Source organism: Homo sapiens, chromosome 13, assembly GCF_000001405.40.
Source record: "Homo sapiens chromosome 13, GRCh38.p14 Primary Assembly".
In the NCBI taxonomy this organism is placed as follows: Eukaryota; Metazoa; Chordata; class Mammalia; order Primates; family Hominidae; genus Homo; species Homo sapiens.
Window position 1 is genome coordinate 89,212,283 of NC_000013.11, and position 25,212 is coordinate 89,237,494.

Genomic DNA, 25,212 nt, shown 5'->3' on the forward strand with positions numbered 1-25,212 from the left:
AAAGGACATCAAAATTGTCCTAGCATTTCTTTATTACAGGTAGGTGCTCATCAGTATTCAAAATCTGCTGTACTGAGTAAACAAAGCCAAACATGAAGGCAAACCACACAGGATTCCAGCAGGTTGCTGGGCTTCTTCCTGTTAACTGTACACTGTCACATTAACAAAGTGAACAATTAGAAAGGCAATAAAATCTCAGACAGAGGGAATATCATGATCATAAAAATAAAATACCTAGTACAGTGCTGTATATCATTATTATGTGAGTGTGACACTGCGGTGTTCCCCAGCATATTAATTATCAAAATTTAATTATAAAGTAAGGAAAATTTAAACAGACTTAATAATGGATGAAGAGATAGGAAAAGCTTTCAAAGAATTATATCCAAGGTAGGCAACCTGCCAACATGGTACTAGAACAATTTTTTTTTTATCATTTTCATGGCATAGAAACCATTTTCATGTTGCAGAGAAGAAATTTAGATGAAAACATTCCCATTTAATGTATTGATATTACTGAAGTTTAATATCAAATCCTGACAAAAAAAGAGATTGAAAAATTAAAATACAGATTTTTTATAAGAAAAAATGGTGGTGACTTTAAACATAACAATAATAATTTAGTCTTTCAACCCATTGTGAATTACTTTCTAAATAAGTGTAGTAATATAATTTATCTTATTAGAAAAAAAGGCAAAATGTAAAATGTCTTTAATGGCTATGAGATACTTAAAAGCAATTTTTTTTTGTTTTTTGTAACATGACACCTAAAATCCTCAAAGTAAATTAAGAGCATTGGAATAATTCCGTTTTTAATTTTTTTTTTTTAAATGTTGCCCAGGTTGGCCTTGAACGCATAGCCTCGCCTCCTTGTGCGCCAGGACAACTGGCCTGAGCACCTCAGCTCCCTGAATAATTCTTTAACATACCATTCATGCATTTGAAGCCAAAACACAATTACTTATTTTAAAGACAATTATCCAAATAATTGTGTAACTCATATACAAAATGAAGCAAAAGTTATAATGAAAACATGTTGCGCGCCCTTGGATATTATCATATAACTTGTTTTTTAACATAATCACCCCCAAATAAAATATTTTTAATTTTTCACAATTATTCTAATTATGAAAATAATAAGAAAATTTAAAAATCTTTTTTGAAAACTTGGAATTTAGCACTTGTCTGCCATATATTAGGGTCACAGAATTGCTCAATTTGTCTTAAGAGTAATTTGTGTAGAACTCAAAATTTTGTGCTCAGAACACTACGACTATAAAAAAAGTCAATGGTGCGAAATAGGAACAATGGTAGTTGATTGTGGGCAGATGCAATAAATTGTCATCTGTGCCCTCTCCTCCCCACCACCCCAGTTGCTATGTCTATATGGCTAGCAATACTTGCACAGACAATTCACTGGAGTTAACAAATGGTCAATGAAAAGTACCAGGTCCAAATTCAAAGTCAAGGGCTATCTGGTATCTTTATACCAGGCACCTTTATATTAGAGGGCAAAAAGTGACAGTATACCTCTCCAACTGAGTTATATTAGTCAGATCAAAAAGAGCAAACATAGTTTTATCAATGAATATATTCCTTCTGAGGCTAGAAACATGTTTGTTTGTTCCTTCACAAAATATGTATTTTATGATGTAATACGGACATGGCCCTTAACAGCAGAATCGGAAATTGAGTTATGTACTCTACTACTACTCCCGAGGTAATATGTTGAGTATATCAAATTTAACATTACCAAAAACAAAAGTTTAAATGTACTGTGACTATTCTATTGTTTAAGCTCCCTTTTTCTCAGATCTATATTCAGGTAACTTTTTTATTATTTGTGTCTACATGTTTCTGCTAAATTTAGTAAAAGTTTACAACTGAACACAGCACATAGTGCATGTTAATCTTTCATTCAGCATTTGATAAAGTTAATAAAATAAACAGTTGCCATTACACTGCAAAGTTGATTACTAGGGAGTAATTAATTAACTACTAACACTCTACAAAAGCCCTCAGGAGAGTTGGCAAATTTGCAGATTTCTGAGTGCTTCAGCAATGCTTAACTTCAAAGAGATATTAAAATGCTGCAACCCCTGATTTCATTCTGACTGTCCTTGGAAAGACTCCAAGGACAAATTGAACAAATTGGCTAAAAATCCTACCACAGGAAGCCAAACATATTCTATAGTCTGAAGAACAGAGTAACATTTTTGCTGAATAGAGCACTTACGGCTTTTCACAAAAACATGATTCTTTAATACACATCTAATAATGCACAATCAATCAATATACACATAAGAAAGCTTTTCAAATTTTAGCATCCCACATGGTCTCTGCTGTGAGAGACAATAACGCACTTGTAAAATGGATGACATAAAGCCCTATGCATATTTCAAATGAGACAAGAAGATATTTATATAGTTGATGATGTTTGCTATTGTAATAATGGCATTATTTTTTCAATACACCACTCGAGTGCTATTGAGTATACAATTCCCTCGAAGCCTTTTCTTGTGTTATAGAGACTATTGCAGGACCTACTTTAACACTTACAATAATTTGAAATTATAAAAGAAACACATTCTGAAAGCTTTATTAAATACACAGTACAAGCCACTCTATGTTGAAACCTATTTTTCCACAACTGGCACTGGAAGAGTGATATCATTGATACATAATATGCAAAGGATGAATTTCATCTTGAGAATGAGTTGGTTTTCCTTTGATAGAATCCATTTTGAATGTGATGCCGTGAAATGAGTCATTCAGTGGGACCCAGACAAGTGCCCGTTCTAAAACAATTATGTTTTAGGATCGTTTAAAATGTTGACCTTCACAGCACATACACCCTTTTGCTCAAAAGCTTCTATATTAGTCTATAATTTAGGTAATTGTAACATTCCATGAAAGATAAGAGAATAAAATGAAACTGAAATTCAATACAACAAAAATGTATAGGGAGAGAATCTGCAAATCAGCTCCTTTCATCTTTCATCTTCAGGTAGTGCTCTTGATCTCAGCCAAAGGCCAAAAAGTGATCTGTAGGGAGTGTAGAGATATGAAGCGGAGTGAATACTGTCCATTCAAACGTGCTTTATTACTTGACTAAGGTTGTGAATTTCAGATAACAAAGTACAAATTTTAAATGTTGCTATTTAATAAATTGTGTTTAAATGTCTATGTGGGCCGGGCGTGGTGACTCATTCCTGTAATCCCAGCACTTTGAGAGGCCAAGGGCGGCGGATCAACTGAGGTCAGGCATTCGAAACCAGCCTGGCCAGCATGGTGAAACCCCGTCTCTAATAAAAATACACAAATTAGCGGGGAGTGGTGGTGGGCACCTGTAATCCCAGCTATTCGGGAGGCTGAGACAGGAGAATCACTTGAACCCGGGAGGTAGAGGTTGCAGTGAGCCGAGATCGTGCCACTGCACTCCAGCCTGGGCCACAGAGCTAGACTCTATCTCAGAAAGAAAAAAAAAAAAAAGAAAAAGAAAAAGAAAAAAAAAAGAGTATATGTGAAATTGTTGGCCAGGTGAGGTGGCTCACGCCTGTAATCCCAGCACTTTGGGAGGCCAAGGCGGGCAAATTGCCTAAGGTCAGGAGTTTGAGACCAGCCTGGCCAATATGGCGAAATCCCGTCTCTACTAAAAATACAAAAATTAGCTGGGCGTGGTGGCGGGTACCTGTAATCCCAGCTGTCCAGGAGGCTGAGGTTTGGTGGCGGGTACCTTTAATCCCAGCTGTCCAGGAGGCTGAGGCAGAAGAACCACTGGAACCCGGGAGGCAGAGGCTGGCAGTGAGCAGAGATTGTGCCACTGCACTCCAGCCTGAGTGACAGGGCAAGACTCCGTCTCAAAAAAAAGAAACAAAAGAAAGTGTGTGCTAGTGTATGTGTGTGTGTGTGTGTGTGTGTTACAGTGGAGGTTTCTATTCATTGGTACGTCATACACAAACGTAACGTTTTAGAACAATAATTATCTATACATTCGAAGTGAATTTGATAAGCATTTGTTACTGAAATGACTACTAAATATAATAGATGGTGTGATTGAGTTATATCCACAAACACATTCTCATTAGGGATTCATCAATTCATAATAGATGAAAGATATGTTGTGGAGTCAGTATTTGGTTCCACTTCCTGCCATCTTATTTCTTGATTGTCCTGTTACCACACAATGCCTTTCAAAGAACTGTAGTGTTCTTTTAATATAGTTCCCTTTAGTTTTCCTAGTTAAGTTTCTGTTGTCATGTCTTTAATTTCATAAAAGTAAACGAAAATTTCTGCTCTCTTCTTTTAATATATTAACTATTTTTATGCATAGTCAACTTCTGTAGTTTTTGTACTATTATTATCTAATAGGATCTACATCTTATGTAATTACTTTGTCTTTACCAACTCCATTTTGAGGGAATATATTTCATTAGATTTTAGTAAAGCCATTTTTTAATATGATTTTTTTCTTCTCATTATCTGTCAATCAACCCTATTTTATAACAACTTTTTAGCTCTGCATCAAATTGCCTACTGGCTACCAGGAAAATAATAAGCCTTACCAGACGGTTCAAAACTGGCTAAGTTTAAGGTGAAAACATGCACTGTATCCTCAGATTCTGTGTTTAGCTCTATAACTATCTTTTTCCGTCTTGCTCAGTTACTACTTTTCCTTCTGTTGTTCCTAGCTATAAAATTTCCCCAAAGATTTGTGTCCAACCCTCTATCCCTTTCTCTTTTCTCCCTAATGTCAAGAGATCCAATATTTTCTAATTGTAGACATGCTAATTGGTAAAAATAATTCTCTGTGTTTTTCATGTTCCCTGGGAGCATTCTACATCACCCTGGGAGTGATATTATATTTGGGCATATAGAGTATTGATTTTTATAATTGCATACAATCTACATTTAATATCTTCTATATCAAAGTATATGCATAGATTAAATGAAATTAAATGAAATAATCCTCATTTGCACAATTTAGTTTTCAGATAAGTGAAATTAAACATCAAAGTCATAGATTCTTTCAAGAGTTAAGTTACTTATTTGCATTACAGATATTTAATTACTGTTAAGCTTATATAAAGTTTAAGAAATAAAAATGACTTCAACAAAAAAGTTTAAAAATTAGTAAAACATTTCATGTTATAGAATTTCCTCATATATTTGAAGCAAAAAGTAGCATAAACATATTATGAAAGCATTACAGTTTTAGTGGTAATTTATAAACTTACAATTTTGCATACTGTCAAATTATAAAATTTCTCCCTTAAGGCTTTGCTTAATGGTAAGTGAAAGAGAGAAACAGTTAAGCCAGGTATTATAAAAATAATTTGAGACCTTTAATTCATTCAAGGGTAGTGACTTTATTATTTTTAGAAAAATTTAACTTTAGTCTCTCGAAAAATAACTATCATCAACTGTGTGTCATCATGGCACATTATTAAATAAAGTAGAAATGGCCTTTCATTTTCTTGGGGCCAACTCCCAGACTTAAATGCTTCAGAAATTAGGATAAATGATCATTTTGAAGGGAGAAATTTTCCCATTGCAAAAGATGTATTCAAAGCTTTCTTATAGATTTTACTTGCTTTGAAAATGAAGTGTCTGATGAGGCTTGTCTGTAATTAGAAAACATTAGATAAACTCTTCCCATTGTAGAAACATATTGGAACAACTATTTCACAGTAAATCAGAATTTCACTATCAAGTTATGTGATAAGCTCTTCTGTATTACTCAGTAAATCATGAAGTGTGACAATAAGGACACTCAATAAGCTCTAAGAACTGCATAATAAATCAGGAAATTTCACAGTAAGTTGCACAATAAGCTCCACTGTATTAGTCTCTAAATCATGGGCTTTCACAAAAAGTTATATAAGAATTTCTTTCTTCTTTACCATGTCTACTATTATTATGGGGCATCCATCAGTTAAGGATAAAACTTACCAATAAATGGAAGTCTTTCACTGTAGCCATGTGTTATTGAGAAAAATAGGTATAATTTGTCTGAAATAGAAAAAAAAGCTATTGTTTTGTAAATATGAATAAATAATAAAATTAATTCCAGCAACAATGTTAGCTTATGACTGTGATATAGAATTCATTAATTTATAGTAGATACTATATTTTAAAACTATTTAAAATTAGTTAATATTTACTTTTTATAACGAATAACATATATAAATACATAAACATAATTATTGACAAGGGAAAGATTAAGTATCTAAAATAGAGTAAGTAACCACAACTGTAGTTCATTTTTACTATGTGTACATGTGAAGAGAAAGAGAGATGCTTATCTGCAATAATCTAAAATGTATGTTTATTCTCTAATCTTGATGGTAATAAAATGTAATTAAGCTTTTGATAAATTGAAAATTTGCTGTATACAGTGGTATGTGCCTGAAGTCCCAGCTAATCAGGGGACTCAGGTGGGAGGACAGCTTGAGCCCAGGAGTTCAAGTCCAACCAGCGAAACACAGTAAGACTTCATTTCTAGCAAAAGTTGAAAATAATTTGAAACTTTATTTGAGAGATACAATATGTCTTTATGTGAAATAGAAGTTAAATAACTACTGAATTAAGATCCTAATTCCATTGCTTAAATCATAAGTAACTAAATGTAATTAACTACATTATTTAAATGTCAATTTATTTTTAAAATTACCTTTAGAAAAATATATTAATTATTTTTTCAAGAAAATATTTTGAGAAAATAACAAAAGTAAGTAGATTTAGCATGAACATGGGACTTCCCAACTAAATACTACTTAAGACTATTTTATCTTTGTAATGCAAAAAAAGCCAAAATGTATTTTTAAAATTTTAAATGCAGGTAATTTAAGAAAGTAAGATTTATGCAAAAAACAAGATTTGTTCATAATTCGATACCTAGAATTAGAAAATCCTGTTACCCCAAATACGATAAGGCAGATGTTCCTATAATAATGACAACTAGGATTCTATGTGAAGAATAGGAGGACAGGGAAGTTCTTACTGCAAATGTCAACATCACTGGGGAGAGAGTTCTGTGGAATTTAGGCCCTACTTTCATGGGGAAAATTTAGGGAGTTTTTTGTTTATTTGTTTGTTTGTTTTTTGAGACGGAGTCTCGCTCTGTCACCCAGGCAGGAGTGCAGTGTTGCCATCTTGGCTCACTGCAAGCTCTGCCTCCAAGGTTCACGCCATTCTCCTGCCTCAGCCTCCCAAGTAGCTGGGACTACAGGCGCCCCCCACCATGCCAGGCTAATTTTTTGTATTTTTAGTAGAGACGGAGTTTTACCGTGTTAGCCAGGATGGTCTTGATTTCCTGACCTCATGATCCGCTCGTCTCGGCCTCCCAAAGTGCTGGGATTACAGTCATGAGCCACCACACCCGGCCAGGGAGTATTATTTTTAAAGTAGTATTGAACTGCTGCCCCCTTAAACAGAAACACATACATAAACACAGATATATTGTTATCTATTGATACTCTACACAAATTCTTCTCCATGTTGATAAGCCACTGAAAATAGGAATCCTGAAGAAATTCAGATATCATCCAAGAAGAATCACCCCTACTACATCCATTGCAAGCTAAATTCTTTGATAAGAAGAAGTCCCAGATCTTACAACATTTTACCCTGGGCCCAGTTATTGTTGAATAAAGTAAATTAACAGTAGTTACTTTTTTAATTTCTTCCCTACATCAAATATTTAAGGTTTTTCATCTCTTTATTTTCCCTCTTTTGATTTCCTTTAAATTGCTTGAGTTAAAAGAGCTCAATTTAGTGGGATCATGTAAGCCCCATAGAAGATTGAAATCGACTATGATTATCCTAAAAATCTCAATTTAAAAGCTTCTTTCAATAATTCTTAAATATTGTCAATTGACCCTGAGTTTGAGATAACTGTCTTTATGCAGATAAACAGCATAAATGGATTAATATCTCATCTCCAATTCTGCTTATTGCATTAAAAGAAAGACCAGTAACTACTTCTGACACCTATAATCTTTACATCTTTTGTTTTTGTAATTCAAAAAATAATCTGATTGTATCATAAAGATAAATAAATGTATAGTAGAGTTACATGGAATGATAACATCTTGTTTTCATTTATTGATATTGGATGAGTTTTTAAAACAGAAATTTTAGGAATTCCCCTCTCAGAAATAAAGCAACACATTCTAAATTACAAATGAAAACATTGGTTGAATTTGTATGTAAAACTGTACATATGTAAGTTGAAAGAAAATTCACTTACCTTTAAAATTATATTTTCTAAAATCCCTAAGGAATAGAGGAAAAGCTAATATGAGCAGAATATAAACTTGTTACTAATCATTATTACAATGTTTGAAAAGCTTTGAAACATTTAAATAAAGCCCACTACATATTCATCTAGTATTAATATACATAAACCATAAAATATCTAAATATTTAAGTCAACACAAGAACTCTAAAGTTGATGCCTTATTAGTTCACATAGGAGATATTAAAATCTAGAAAGTAATCATTAAACTCTGCATGAGTTGATGTCAAGAATATTAATGAAGAAAATGGCATAATTATTATTCTCAAAGTCCCACATGTAATATTTCTATTTCAGCAAAACTAGAAAAGATGTCAAAACTACAAGCTCAGAATTTTGAAAGATTTTTTTTTTCAAAATGTGTGGAACATTGCAGCATTTAAAAAAAGTAAAACAAAGCCCCTCATTCAAAATAAATATTTGGTCATTTGCATTTAGTTTCAATATTTCATTCAGCGTAATTAATCATTAAAATTCAATCCATACACATCTGCTTCCAGCCAAGATAGATTAGCTCCATTTTCCCTAGGTTGTTTCTCTTACAAGTAGAAGACCCAGGATATAGCATAATAATATAATCAAGAAGACTGAAAGTTTCAAACAAGTAGGTAAACTTCATAAGGACATAGGAGCTTGAGGAATCACACAGTGTTGTATTCCCTAGGTTTTCTCTTTCCCTTCTATTTTTCCTATACAGAACATCATAAAGTTCTCTGTCCTAGAACCAATAGGCATAAAACAAACAAACAAACAAAAAAGCTCAAAAAAATAGTATGAGAAAAAAAAAAGCTCCATATTCCTGTGCTTTACACTGCTTTTTAGCCGAGATGTGGGAAAATGGTGGCATCACCACAGACCTCTTTTGGCAACACTGATCCAACTGTAGCCAAGCACCAGCATAACAATCATACCCTATTTATGGTTTTCATGCCAAGAGTAAAGTAGATCTTCAAACTCATCCACTTGCTTGGTAGAAGGAGACAAGATGGCTTCTCCCACTATGTGGTGCTAGCAAACTGAATGGGGGCTGATCTTCTCGAGGAAGAAAAATGGTGCTCCAACTAAATGCTTAAGTAGTGTCACTGGAATACAGTTAGTGATGTGAAGAACCTCTGTAACAGGCCAAGCTAATCTTGCATGCTGCCCAAAAAAGCCAATGCACTGGGAACAGCAGGTATTGCAGCAAAGAAAGTTTAATTAACACAAGGCCAGCCAAGCAGGCTAATGGGATATTTATCTCAAATCTTTCTCTGGAAAGCTCAGAGGCTAGGACTTTAAAGAATTATTTGGTGGGCAGGAAATGAAGAAATGGGTGCTGCTTATTGGTTGGAGATGAAATCATAGGGATGTCCAAATGGTCTTCATGTGCTGAGAGTTTCTAAAAGAGGGTTCCAAGACAGGCTGAACAAGTTTCTTGGTATGAATCATGGGTCTGGAAAGAGTCAGCTGGTTTCCATAATGCAAAAATCTGAAAAATATCTCAAATACCAATCTTAAGTTCTGACAACAGTGTTATTTTCTACAGGAGCAATTGGGGAAGTTACAAATCCTGTGACCTCCAGCTATGTGATTCTCAAGCAGTAAGTGATTATAGAAAGGCAAGATAGAAGACAATGACCAGTTATCATTTTACTATGCTTACATTTTAGCAGAATTCAGGGCCCTCCCATAATCCTATTCTTGTGAACTTTCATAGTCTTACAAAGATGGTTTTAGTCTCTGAGCAAAGAGGGGTTTAGTTTTGGAAAGCAACTATCATCTTTGTTTTAAAATTAACAAAGGCAATTAGCTTGTGAGGTTAAAAGCAAGATGGAGTCAGTTAGATTAGATTTCTCTCACTGAGATAATTTTTGCAAAGGTGTTTTTACTTCCAGCCCCACTCTATGACAATGAGACCTAATAAAGCATTGCAAGCAAGGGCTAATTACCACTCCACTTCGCAGTACCCTTCCATATTGTTGGCAGGCACTAACAATGAGCCGAATCTCATCCAGTAGGCATCATCAAGACTGAACTCAAGACTCAAGGCTATAGGACTGAGGGCCAGTAAGAACGCCACTTGTCTTCAACCCTGTAGTCAACTGATTGCAATAGGGAGCTGACCCTCTACCCCTACCCAGCAGCAAAAAAAGTAGAATAAGAAAATGGAAGATTGATCTAGATGACATTTTAGTTTCATCAACTTCCTGTGGTGACAATGAACTCAGCAGAGAGCTGAACTTCTGCCTCTACCCTACTGCAAGAAATAAATGATCAACAAAATGAAATAACAGGATCTAATTGCTCTATGTAGAACATGATAGCCAACAATTTTTTAGTGCTCATAAAACATTCATCAAAGATAGAAGACATTATATTCCATAAAACTGTAACTAAATTTAAAGAAGTTAAAATTTTATAGCATTTTTTTCTGACCACTATGGAATCAAACTAGATTTCAAAAACACAGAAACCCTTGGAAATTTTCTAAAATATTAGAAATTCAATAATACATTACTAAATAATGTATAGATCAAAGAGATAGTCTCCAAGGAAATTTAATAATATAAATAGGACTGAATGGAAATAACAATACAGCAAATCAAAATAACTGGGATGCAGCTAAAACAGTGCTGAGAGGTAAATGTATATCAATAAATGTTTACATTTTAAACGACAAAAGCTCTCAAATCAATCATCTAAGTTTCATCCTCAAGAAACCAGGAAGAAAAGAGCAAAATAAACTGAAAAGAGGTAAATAATAATGATTGATCAGAAATCAGTGAAACTGAAAAAAAAATAAACCAGTAGAGGAACAAAACACTACTTCTCTGACATAAAATAAAATTTATAAAACTTTAGCAGGAAGAACAATAAAGAGAGAAGACATAATTTAACATGTCAAGTATAAAATAGAGATATCACTGTAGACACTGCATTTAGTAAAAGGATAATAAGTGAATATGAAGAGTAACTTTACATGCATAATTTCAACAACTCAGAAGAATGGACCGATTTCTTGAAAACTAAAATCTACCAAAACTTAGCCAAGATCTAATGAACAGTGTAAACAGTTCTATAACTTTTGAAGCTGTTAAATTTAAAAGTGAAATCTGTTAAAAAAAAATTGCCAGAATAAGATTATTTCAATGGTGAATTCTATCAAACAATTAAAGAATAATTAACTACGCTCTTTTTTTTTTTTTTTTTACAATCTATTGTAAGGGAACACTTCCCTACTATTTTGTAAAGTTGCTATGACTCTGATACCAAACCTAAACAAAAATGATATTTTTAAAAAGAAAAGAAAACTGGAGAAAATGTCATCCATAAACATAGATGATAAAACCATCAACAAAATATTAGCAAATCCTATCGAGAAATGTGCAAAAAGAAGGATACCCCATGACCAAATGAACTTTATTCAAGTCATGCAAGACTTTGTTAACAGTTGAAAACTAATGAAATCTTCATAATAGTGGGCTGAAGAAAAAAATCAGAGTAATCTTACCATTTTACATGGACTAATTTCCACATCCATTTCAGAATGATTTTTTTTTAAAACTAGAAATAGAGGGAAACGTCTTTGACTTGATGTAGTGCATCTACAGAGCACCCACAGCTAACATTATACTTAATAGTGAACGTCAAATGCTGTTTTTCTAAGATTGGGAACAAGGCAAGGGCGTTTGCTTTTGCAACATTTCTTCAACATAATACTGGAAGATCATGCCACTGTGAGAAGGGGAAAAAAAGAAAAAAAATCGTGCATACAGATTGAAAGAAATAAAGCTTTTTTTTCGATGACATGATTGTCTATGTAGATAATCCCAAGGGAGATACACACACACACACACACACACACACACACACACACACACACACACACAATCTCCTAGAACAAATACATGAGTTAAGTAAAGTCACAGGATATAAGAGCAATTGTATAAAGAAATATACAATTGATTAAAAAATACAGTTGCTACATAAATTGATATATGAATATAAATTAATTTATTTCTATATGCTGACAACAAACAAGTGAAAACTGAAATTAAAAATGCAACATTATTTACTAGTGTTTCAAAGAAAGTAGGTAGCTCTATACTTAGCCAAATATATATAGTATTTATATGCTAAAAAGTATAAAATCCTGATGAAATAAACCAAAGCAGTCCCAAATAGAGAAATACACTGTGTAAATGGATAGGAAAACCAAAATAATTCATAAGTTCCTATATCTGTCCATCAAAATATCAGTGATGCTTTATAAAGCACCGAGAAGCTCATTCTAAAATTTATATGAAATAGCACAGAACCAAGGATAGCTAAAATTATCTTGAAAAAGAAGTGGTATCAATTGCTCTGTCAGATGTTAAGCCTTACTGTGTAACTACAATTTGTAAAAGAATGTGGCATTCATGAAGGAGAAGCCTCAGTTCAATGAAACAGAAGCAAGAACCATGAGAATAGAGAATCCAGAAAGAGTTTCAAAAAATTAGACCAACAGATTTTTAACAATAGTGTAAAAATGATCCCATGGAAGGAGAAAGTTTTTACTACATAGTATTGGAGTAATTGGATATCCATAAGTACAAAATCTTTTACAAAAGATCCTTTAACTAAAACTCACATATTTTATAAAAAAATAACTAAAAATAGGGTCATGGGCCTAATTTAAAATGCAAAGCTGAAAAACTTTTTAGAAAAAAATAAAATAGTAAAGAAAAAATCTTGTGGCTAAGACATAGGGCTAGGTGAAGAGTTCTTGGTCTTAACACTAAAAGCACAATCCATAAAATAAAAACTGATAAACTGACATCCACAAAATGAAAACTTTTTTTTTCTGTGAAAACTCATGTGAAGAGAAAGAAAATCTAAGCTATAGACTGAAAGAAAATATTTTCAATCCATATATCCAACAAATGTATTTCATCTAAAATATATAACAGACTCTCAAAACTCAACAGTATAAAACCAAATTGTCCAATTAGAAAATGGGCAATAGATGAAGAGAAATTTTCCAAATAGTGTATACAGTTGATAAAAAGCACATAAAAAAGATGTTCAACATCATTAACCATTAGGGAAAGGCAAATTAAAGCCATAGTGAGATATCACTACACATTTAGAATGAGGAAAATCAAATAGGATTAACATCAAATGTTCATAAGCATATGAAGTAACTAGCTGGCCCACTCTGACATTGCTAGCCGGAATGTAAAACAGACCAGTCACCTGGAAAAGGTTGTTGCAATTTCTTACATAACTAAACATTTGTTTATAATATATTCTGGGAATTGTACTTTGGGCATTCAATTCAGAAAAATGAACACTTATATTCATTAAGCTTGAAAGTAAATATTTATAAGCACCTTTGTTCATAATAGCCAAAAACTGGAAATAATCCCAATATCCTTCAATACATGAATAGTTGAACAAACTGTGGTATATCTATGCTATAAAATAATACTCAGTGATAAAAAGCAACAAAAAGGATATAGCAATTTAGATGTTAAATAATTATTCTGACTAAAAATGCTAATCTCAAAAGGTTGCATACTGTACAATTGCATCTATATTACATTCATGGAATAATAAAAATACAGAGATTCAGAGCAGGTTAGTTATTGCCAGGGATTAGGAAGCAGAGGTTAGAAGCGGCTAAGCTTACAAAAGGAGATCCTTATGATGCAGCTGTTCTGTATATTGACTGTGAGGGGGTGGTAAAACAAATCTGCAGATGGGACAAAATTGCATAGAACTAAGGCCACATACACACATATCCATGCACACACACGCAAGAATTCATGTAAATCTGGTGAAATCTGAATAAGGTGGATGGATCAGGTCAATGTCAATTTTCTGGTTTTGATATTATACTGCGGCTAGGCAAGAGGTTACCACCACAGGAAACTGGGTGAAGGGTATATAGATTTTCTCTCGGTATTAGTTTTTCCAACTGAAGGGGAATCTATAATTATGTCAAAAATAAATAAATAAATCCATCCCGTGGTGACACAAATGTAATGTATAAAAATCATGTAATTAAAATCATGTAATTTTTAATGTTTGATGGGATATTGCTTAACGCTAAGAAAATCATTTCTGTTTACCTACTTTTATGAAAAATATATGCTGTTGAGAAGAACTTCTCACATTTTCTTATGTACATTCCTGTGTCATCAACTCATGAAAGGTAGCAAGTGATGCAAACTGATGTGTGAATTGCCATAAAACAATACCTGAAATATTTAAATCAAATAAAAATTTGTTACAAATTTGATTTCAAAGATATTTTGCTTCTATTCCAGAGTTGAACTGTCCCTTAGAGCAGTGATTACATTTTAATAGTTTTTCTAACCTTTAATATATGAATATTACATATTATATTAATATATATATTCTTACTTAGATAATTACTTAAAAAATAAATTCAGTTTCAATTACTTTAGGATAACCTGGTGCAAATAGTCCCCTGTATGTATTATGTGCCATGGTTTTCAACCCTGCCTCTAAACCAATAACCTTACTTTATTCTATATTTGAACATCATATTTCATTTATTTGCTGCATTTTTGTTCTCCAAAAAATTACTATTGTTCTATTTAGTGCTAATTTCCCTTTTTTCTCTAAAATATTTTAGGGATTGATGTGTATTTAAAACCTTGTCATGATTATGAGGGGTGAATGACTTATAGTTTTATCTTGGCTTGAAAATCAATTTTATCTTCCTGTTGACTGCATTTTATGTTTTCTTTACTCTCATCCTAAAAAAAAGTTCTGAAATGAAGCCAAGTTATGATGAGATGTCCTCTGAAGTAATCAAATATTACACTGAGAGTCATCCATCACAGAAGGCCCACAAGTTTTTGTTACCTATATCCTTGGAAAATGTGAATTAAGTAATTACAAATAAACAGTGGACAATATCATTTATGCTGTTTCATTGTGTTAACTTAAATGGCTGGTTGGCAGCGCTAAAGCTGGGCCAGAGACAGGGGAATGCCATATATTTGTATGAGTGATTCATAATTTGAGGTCAATATCGTGCTTCAAATACAAATGACATATCTAATGTGGAATGTAAGAGCAAAACCATATGTCCAAATTATGTATATTTCCGTTTTATTTTGGGCGAGGTCAGTTTGATTAATATACATAGCTGAGCTTTAAATACAGAATGGAATCAAGAAATTAGGTTTGGTAAAAAGAAGTTTTAAAGAGAACAAGGTGGTCAATTCTACATCAATCATAGATTACATCAAAAGTCATTCAATGGCAACAGCTAAGAGAAAAATATCTTAGCTAATTCTTTGTTTTAAAGATATTCTATAATTTATATTTCATTACTCTTTTATTGTAAATTGGAAGGTAAAATATATGTTTCTGTGTGATGTGGGCATGTGTGTGTAGAAGTCCACTGTGCCTTGTCAATAAAACATCACGTAGTAATTTTAAATAGGGTTTTCTTTCTGATGAGCTCTAAAATCATCACCATTATATGCAAAATATGAAAGTAGTAAATAATATAAAATAAACCATTATGTGGCTGGGCACAGTGGCTCACGCCTGTTATCCCAGCACTTCGGGATACCAAGGCGGGCGAATCACTTGAGGTCAGGAGTTCGAGACCAGCCTGACCAACATGGTGAAACCCATCTCTACCCAAAATACAAAAATTAGCCAGGTGCCATCATGGGTACCTGTAACTGCTCGAGAGGCTGAAGCATGAAAATCACTTGAACCCTGGACACGGAGGTAGCCATAAGCCGAGATCGTGCCAATGCACTCCAGCCTGGGCAACAGAATGAGACTCTGTCTCAGAATAAATAAATAAATAAATAAACAAACCATTATGCTTTCTTAAAGGGCAGATAAAACATTTCTCTTAAAAGTGAAAAATATACTGTAGTTATAACAAAAATTTATTTTTCTTTTGTCCACATATTTGTGCCATGGTCCTCAAACCTTTCAGAATATCTAGCCCATGTATTGATTCTAAGATGAAAGAAAAAATTTTGTGAATGAATATTGGGTACAAAAAATAATTATGCAGTTGGGGTTATCAGCCTAATTCAGTGAATCTACATAAGAAATAACATGGGTATCTCATGTGACTTAAGAAACTGCATTCCCATCAACAGTGTATAAGCATTTCCTTTCCTCGGCAGCCTAACCAGCATTTGTTTTTTGACTTTGTAGTAATAGCCATTCTAATGGGTGTGAGATAGCATCTCTTTGTGGTTTTGATTTGCATTTCTCTGATGATTAATAATGCTGAGCATTTTTTATATGTTTGTTGTCATTTGTATATCTTCTTTTGAGAATTATCTGTTCATAATTTTTGCCCATTTTTAATGGAGTTATTTGTTTTTTGCTTGTTGTTTTAAGTTCCCTAGAGCGTCTAGATATTAGGCTATTGTCAGATGCATAGTTTGCAAATATCTTCTCTCATTCTGTAGGTTGTCTGTTTGCTCTATTAATAGTTTATTTTGCTGGGAAGAAGCTCTTAATTTAATTAGGTCCCACTAGTCTAGTTTTGTTTTCACTGCAATTGCTTTTGGGGACTTAGCAAAAAAACTTTTGCCAAGCTTGATGTCGAGAAGAGTATTTCCTATTTTTGTCTTTCAGGATTTTTATAGTTTGAAGTCTTACATTTAAATTTTTAATACATTTTGAGTTAACTTTTATATATGGTGTAACGCAAAGGTCTGGCTTCAATCTTCTGCATATGGCTAGCCAATTATCCCAGCACCATTTTTTGAATAAGGTGTCCTTTCCCCATTGCTTGTCTTTGTTGACCTTGTTGAAGATCAGATGATTGTAAGTGTATAGCTTTCTTTCACAGTTTTCTATTTTGTTCCATTGGTCTATGGGTCTGTTTTTGTACCAGTACCATGCCATTTGGGTTAATTTAGCCTTATAGTATAATTTGAAGACAGATTGGGTGATGCCTCTAGCTTTGCTCTTTTCACTTAGGATTACTTTGTCTGTTTGGGCTCTATTTTGGTTCTATATAAATTTTAGAATAATTTTTTTCCAATTCTATGAAGAATGATGTTGGTAGTTCGATTGGAATAGCACTGAATTGATAGATTTCTTTGTGCATTATGGCCATTTAAAAAATATTGATTCTTCCAATCAATAGTGGAATGTATTTCCATTTATTTGTGTAATTTCTGATTTCTTTCAGCAATGTGTTGCAGTTCTTGTTGCAGAGATCTTTCACCTCTTTGGTTATATATATTTCTAGGTATTTCTATTTTTTGTGGTTATTATAAGTGGGATTGTGTTCTTGGTTTCACTCAGTCTGGACATTGTTGGTGCACAGATATTCTACTGATTTTTATACATTCATTTTATATCCTAGAACTTTATTAAAGTCGTTTATCAATTCTAGGAGTCTTTTGGCACAGTCTTTAGCATTTCCTAATTATAGAATTATATCATCAGTGAAGAAAGATAGTTTTACTTCTTTTTTTCCTATTTTGGTGCCTTTTATTTATTTCTCTTGCCTGATTGCTCTGGCTAGGACTTCCAGTACTACGTTGAATAGGAGGTGTGAGCATGGGCAACCTTGTCTTGTTCCAGTTCTCAAGGGGGATAGTTCGAGCTTTCACTCTGTCAGTATGATGTTGGCTGTAGGTTTGTCACAAACAGCTCTTATTATCTTGAGGCATATTTTCAATGCCTGGTCTTTTGAGAATTTTTATCGTGCATCTTATCGAATGCTTTCTCTGCATCTATTGAAATGATCATATGGTTTCTATTTTTGATTCTGTTTATATGGTGAATCACATTTACTGATTCTTGGATGTTGAACCAGCCTTGCATCTGAGGGACAAAACCTTTTTGTTCATAGTGTGTGAACTTCTTGATATGCTGCTGGATTTGATTTGCTAGTATTTTGTTGAGGATTTTTGCTTCTATGTTCATTTGGTATATTAGTCTGAAATTTTCTTTTTCTGTTGAGTCTCTGCCAGATTTTGGTATCAGGCTGTTGCTGGCTACACAGAATGGGTTAGGGAAGAGCTCATCCTTCCCAATTCCTTAGATTAGTTTTAGTAGGATTGGTACCAGTTCTTCTTTGTGTGTCTGATAGAATTCAGCAGCGAATTCATCCTCCAGAACTTTTTTGCTTGACAAGTTCTTTATTAGTCATTCAATTTCAGAAGTCACAGTCTGGAGGTTTCTCAAAGAACTTCAAACAGGGCTAACATTTAACCCAGCAATGCCATTACTAGATATATACATCCCCCAAAAAAAATCATTTTACCTAAAAGACACATGCATTTGTATGTTCATCACTGTGCTATTAACAATAGCAAAGACATGGAATCAACCCAAGTGCCCATCAATGTTAGATCGGATAAAGAAAATGTGGTACATATAAACCATGGAATACCACACAGCCATAAAAAAGAATAAAATTATGTCCTTTGCAGCAACATGGATAGAGCCATAATCCTAAGCAAATTAATACAGGACTACCCAACTAAATACCATATGTTCTCATTTATAACTGAGAGCTAAGCATTCAGAACATATGAGCATAGCTACAGAAACAAAAGACACTGTGAATTACTAGAGGGTGGAGTGAGGGGAAGTGGGTTGATGAACTACCTATCAGGTACTAAGCTTACTACCAGGGTGACCAGATCTGTACTCCAAACCTCAGCATCATGCAGTATCCCCATGTAACAAATCTGCACCTATATACCCTGTATCTAAAATAAAATTTGAATTTTTTTCAAAAAATAAAATTCAGATGACTTACCTCCTCCAAAGAATTCCACCTTCAGCCAATTTTACCTCAGTTCCACAGTGGAACTTATATGTTATTAAACTTAGGCACCTCCTTAGCTAGATAAATCTTGCCATTCCACTGCAAATACCAGAGTGTTAGCATACGTTAAACAAATAAGAGTTCCTTGGGAATAGGCAGGACCTCTTGTTATGGTAGGAAGATAAACTGGCTCAAAGTTAATGCATAGGACTCCCTGTGTACAGACAAGGGTCTAAGTGCTGATCAGTGTCCAGAGACAAGATTGGCGCCATTTTTAAAGAATAAAAATACAAGTCTGTGTTCTGCTTGGTGTGCTAAAGAGCAAGTTGATGCATTTTCTCATGTATTTGATCAGCCTAGACTTGGTCTGCAATTAAACTAATAAACTACTATTAAGTGAATTCTGAAAATAATACTGGAGAACATGTATAGTTTTATGTAGAAAAAGTAAATTAAATTAATTCCTCTAATTTTTCTGTGTATTTTTAATTTATTTTCACTTAAAAATGAGACTAGCCAACTACCCTGTGATTGTAATTTTAGGTAATTAATTTTACTAGAGGAAGGTAGATTGCACATAACAAGAACTGATTACTGACAATACAAATAAAATTATTTAAATATGTTATATTCATATATAACCCAGGAAATTTTAAAAAATGAGTGTATGTTCTGATTGGTGTGCAAAAGGGCAAGTTGATGCATTTCCACATGCATTTGATCAATTATTACCAACCTTTGAATAGACACAGTGAAGGGAGGTATTTTTAAAAAATCTTTGTTAGATAAATTTGGTCTGTACACATATTTCACTAATAATGTAGTTCTTAAATTACACTGCCTTAATAATATATTATATAAATGAGAAATTAAAATAATAACCTCAAAAAAGCATCTTTTGTAATGTTTGAATCTATAGGTTAAAGTAATACTATGCCAAAATTTAAACTAAGCATTTTAGATGGCCCCAAGGTACCAGTGTACCAACAAAAATTATCAGGTTGGAAGATTCTAGATTTGACCTTGTGTAAGTGTTTAAGAGATATCCTTAAAGAAGACTCCAGATAAATCACAAGGAATAGAAAGGGTATTTCTGCTCGCCTCATTTCTAGGCTGATCTTTTGCACTTTTACAGCCACCCACGGTAACAATTTGCAGTCTTATACTCCCCTTCCTTATGCTGAAAACATGTTTGCCCCCTTCATATGTGTTAATGTGCCTGAAATCTCCAAATTGGATGGAAGTAAATGGGCTCTTTCAATATCACTTTTCCCCTTGGGATAATAGTTTATCACAGTCTTGTGGAAACTTATGTTAACAGTTTACTTAAGTAGACACAACAATCAGCAGTTAAAGCTTGGCTTATTGGGGAGTGGGAAAGACAAAGAAGTAGGTAATAGAAAAATCGGATTGTTTGGTTTCCCTTTTCTCTTCCTCTTAGCTCCTGGAATGAATGCTCTTACAGCTCAGACGTCTCTTTTTTTAAGACGAATTGTGACTATACTGAGACCAGGGCTTATCAGTTTTTGTATCCAAAGAAATCTTTATATTTATAAATCGATGCTTTAGGTTAAAGGCAGTTTTCTATAACTGTGGGTTAGCGCTCTTAAAGTGCTTATCCAAATTCCTATTCTACAGGAATGAGAATTTACATTTCATCTGTGTCTCCCAAGATTGCCACAATGGTGACCTCACTTGTGTCTAATAATTTTTTTATTACTAAATTTAGCACATTAGAAACAGGAAATTTTGGCCTTTTCTTTGGAGTTAGCAACTCTGTTACTTCCATATGCTTAAGCATTTGTTACTTGCTCTCATGCCTTCATCCAGTTTAATTAGCTAATTCGTAAATTTTAAACTTCATGTCACTCTGCAAAGCATGATAAAATCTCATGCTGTCCCTCCCTTTAGTCATTCTCATCCCATGCTGCTGTCAGAGGCATTTTATCATTTCACATCAACACAAGAAGGGTGAGTACCGTACAACAAGATACTTTGAGAGAGAGACCACAGTTACATAATTTTTTACAGCATATTGTTACAATTGTTCTTTTGTTTTTTGTAAGTTATTGTTGTTAATCTCTTATTATTCCTGGTGCATTAATTAAACTTTATTATAGGTATGCATCTGTAGGGGAATAATGGCATCTATAGGATTTGGCACTATCCATAATTTCAGGCAATCCCTGGGGGTCCTGGAGCACATCACTCATGGATAAGGGCAGATGACTGTATATTATGCTACATGATTATTACTCAGAATAAATAGTATACTACATATGTTTTTACTTGAATCTTTTAAATGTTCTATTGTGAAATAAGAATGTGGAAAGCTGCATAGAATCAAACCATACAATTTAGCCAATAATTATGAAGCAAACACCCGAGTAAATACTATTTACTTCCAGAATTTGCCTTCACCTGTCCTGTCAGTTATAACTCGTCCCTCCTCTATTTAGCTAGTCACTATAATGGATATATTTTTCTTGCGTAGCTCACTTTTAAGCATAATAACACCTGGCAAGTGTGTTTTCAAATAATATATATAAATATGAATTGCAAATTAAGCTCTAGCAAGCTATTAGAAGCTAAATTACTACTATCACATCTTCTTATAATCTAGGCACATTACAGGGAAAAGTATTATTTATCCCAATTGAACCTGATGAAATTGAAATTGTTCTCCATAAAGTATCATAATTTACAGAGTTGTAAATTTTAGAACCAGTTCTGACACCCAGTCTTCATGCCTCTTTCACTCATTTCTTTTTTTTCCTGACAAAATAGAAAGACAATGTAAAAAGAAACTGCATTATGAATACAAAGGTGTTCTTGGTTCTCTTCCAAGGTCAGCTATCATCTTTGCTTTGTGTACTGGGTAAATCACTTAATGTTTTTTTATATAGAAATGAATATAAAGTTAAATGGTAGACATCAAACTACCTACTAAATTAAGTGACTGTCAAAACTGTGACTGTTATTTTTCTCTTAAACAGAAATTCTAGTCAAGGGACAAAATAATTATTAAATATAATAATGATTATGGTGATAACTATCATTTATGAATTGCTTATTAATTGTCAAGCTTGCTAAGTACCATATATGCAGTTTATGATTTATCCTTATTGACTTAAAATCAAGAATGAAATCCAAATCCACTCCATCCAGATTCCTCACTTTTATCAGTTCTCCTGTATCATCAGCTGTATATGTCTATAGCTGTATCTATATTTATTCATCTATGTATCTAGATACCTATACATGTGAATACACAAACCTATATAATAAAATAGGAAAAATTTTATACAGTTTAATTTGTGATTAAGATAATTATATACATTGTATATGTGCCTATAAATGTGATTTTTACTGCAAAAAACATTCTAGATTATTTATTAAATCAAATACTTGAACTATTTTAAAAGTTAATTATAGTTCCATATGTGAATACATTTTAAGAACTAAAAGAAATGAAAGCATTTTAACTTAAATGATGTGTCACTAAACCTATTTATTAAGCTATTATCATGTAGTAGCTTTATAGCTGACAATCTCTTTAGAAAAGCATGTGATAACCAGTGATGTGGTCAAGATTTCAATAAAAAGCATATTCCTTTCATTAATATGTTTATAGAATGTCTAATATTGATGAGGATCTTCTATGTAGAATTATATGTAAAAGGACTTATGTCTTATTTTACCAAAATAAAATAGTGTTTCAAAGGTACTGTTATAGTTTGGCTGTGTCTCCACCCAAATCTCATCTTGAATTTTAGTTCTCAGAATTCCCACGTGTTGTGAGAAGGACCTGGTGGGAGATAATTGAATCATGGGGACGATTTCCCCCATACTGTTCTCATGGTAGTGAATAAATATCATGAGAATTGATGGTTTTATAAGGGGTTTCCACTTTCACTCCTCTCTCATTCTCTCTTTGCTGGCTGCCATGTAAAAGACATGCCTTTCACCTTCCACCATGATTGTGAGGCCTCCCCAGGAACCTGGAACTGTGAGTCCATTAAACCTCTTTTTCTTTATAAGTTACATAGTCTCGGGTATGTCTTTATCAGCAGCATGAAAACGGACTAATACAGGTACTATTCAAAATCAATAATTATTTCAATTGCTTACTTAATTGACTAACTTTGTTTAATTTATGTGATATTTAAACAGCTTGATAGTTTTTATTTGAGCTAGTTTATCTGCTAGTATTTTTATGTTTTTATGTATTTCATGGTAATTATATATTTCTCCTTTCTTCTTTTTCTTCCTGTCTCCCTTCCTTCTTTTCCTATTTTACTCCCTCCCTTCCTTCATGTGGACAGAATATGGTGATCAAATTTAATTTGAATTTTAAGTGATAATTGTTAAAATTAGTTAAGATTCAATTAAATATTACAGTAATTTAACCCAGTGTTTACCAATATTTGGCTATGTAGCAGATAACTATGTTAGCAAATAAATCTGTGACCTTAATTCACTCTTTCAATAAATAAAGTTTTAGGAAAATCATTTCTTAAAAGAGTAATTAAAATTAGGAAAAAAATGTAATATCCCCCTCCCTTGCTTTTCTGCTGTATTTGAACTTTCATTGCATTCTGCCCTCATTTATAACTAGATAAAATGAATATAATTCATTATTGCTAGCTTTATTATTAGAGAGTTAAGTAGAAGAACTAATGGGAAAAAAAAATAACAGCACACCGTTCCACTATTTACTGTTTCATTCTTGGGATTTTGTGTAACTCATTATTTCTAAGTTTAAAACTTCCCAAGCCATTTTTCTAACAACCTTGGCCAGCGTGCTTGAGGTAGGTAACCTGCTTTAAATTGCTTTGATTAACTCATGAAGAAATATTCTCAATGCATCCAATTGTATTGTGTATTTATAAGCTCTAGTGCTCTACCATGAACTTTGAATTAACAAAACTATAGAAATGAGCTGATAATGCCCTTAATTTCTTAAACTATACCTCTTATTTCAAGACTTTCCCATCAGTGCTTTTAGAAAAAGATACAATGTCTCTGATTTTTATTCACATTTTCCTAGAATAAGATCACAATATGCATTTATTTTCAACATCTTTCTTAATATTAAAAATCACAATTTTTGACATTTGTATGCTACCTTAATTTTTACAGTATGGCCAGCATGTTATAATAGGTACTTTAAGGTATCTCCAAGTTACAGGTCTACAAATTAACACAAACAAAAATATTCAGCAATATTTCCCTAAAGAAACCATTTAATCATGGTAGCGCAATCAAATCTGTTAACTCGTGTAAGCCTGCATATTTATTATAACTATTTAATTTTAGAAATCAACAACCCTCCATGAACATTAAAAGTGTCATCCACGCACTTTTAACAACTATATTGTTGCCATAAGCATCAGGTGGTTGAAAGAAATCACCATAAGGGAGCTTTTATGAATTTTCAATGGACTCTATGCTTCATAAAATACATACCTCAAAAATATGTGACAGTCTTTCTGTCCTACTACCACTCATATTAATAATCTTCTATCAAATGTTTGGTGTCCCATCTGTCCAGATAGAAGCCACATTGTAAAGAAGAATCATGGGCCATGGCTTCATTTTGCCTAGATTCAAATTCCCTACATTTCTTATTGTATTGAAAACCTTACTAAGGTATATAGAAAGGAGGTAAGCACCTATGAGACATATCTGTCTCTTTGTGTATTTTATCTAAATGTCTTTAATGCTATTATTTTAAAATGAGTTTTTAATTTAAAGTAAATATTTCAACAATTTCTTCATGTTATAACATATGTATCTATGTAATCCTTGTGCACATCTCCTTCAGCACATACATGACCATTTCTCAAGAGTACATACTGGTGGAACCATAAGCAAATAATTAGGGAAATAAAAAGGAGGAAATGAATCTGGAGAGAATTTGGAAGGCAATGAATTCCATCCTTTCAAACTGAATTTTGAAAAACACCAAGAATAGCCAAGCATATGTAGAATTCAAATAAAAGTATATTCAAATACAGTCATATGTAGTATTCTAATAAAAATGTATTCAAATAGAGGCATATGTAGAATGCTAATAAAAATATATTCAAATAGAGGCATATGTAGAATTCTATTTGTTTACTAATTGTAATTCTAACTATGT

At 32.9% G+C, this 25,212-nt stretch overlaps 2 long non-coding RNA genes across 2 annotated transcripts in view; one reads left to right on the top strand and one right to left on the bottom strand.

The window, feature by feature from the left end:
• Positions 1-2,564: 2,564 nt before the first annotated feature.
• Positions 2,565-24,608, bottom strand: LINC01047 (long intergenic non-protein coding RNA 1047). The gene is made up of 5 exons (NR_131229.1): positions 24,537-24,608; positions 8,252-8,277; positions 7,289-7,427; positions 5,953-6,012; positions 2,565-3,045 (listed from the first exon to the last, which is right to left on the bottom strand). It is a non-coding gene; the product is annotated as a long intergenic non-protein coding RNA 1047 (long non-coding RNA).
• LINC00440 (long intergenic non-protein coding RNA 440) overlaps positions 23,009-25,212 on the top strand; it is a 44,950-nt gene continuing 42,746 nt past the window's right edge. The window contains exon 1 of the long non-coding RNA NR_047025.1: positions 23,009-23,076. This is a non-coding gene — a long non-coding RNA (long intergenic non-protein coding RNA 440). The remainder of the gene's footprint in view (positions 23,077-25,212) is intronic.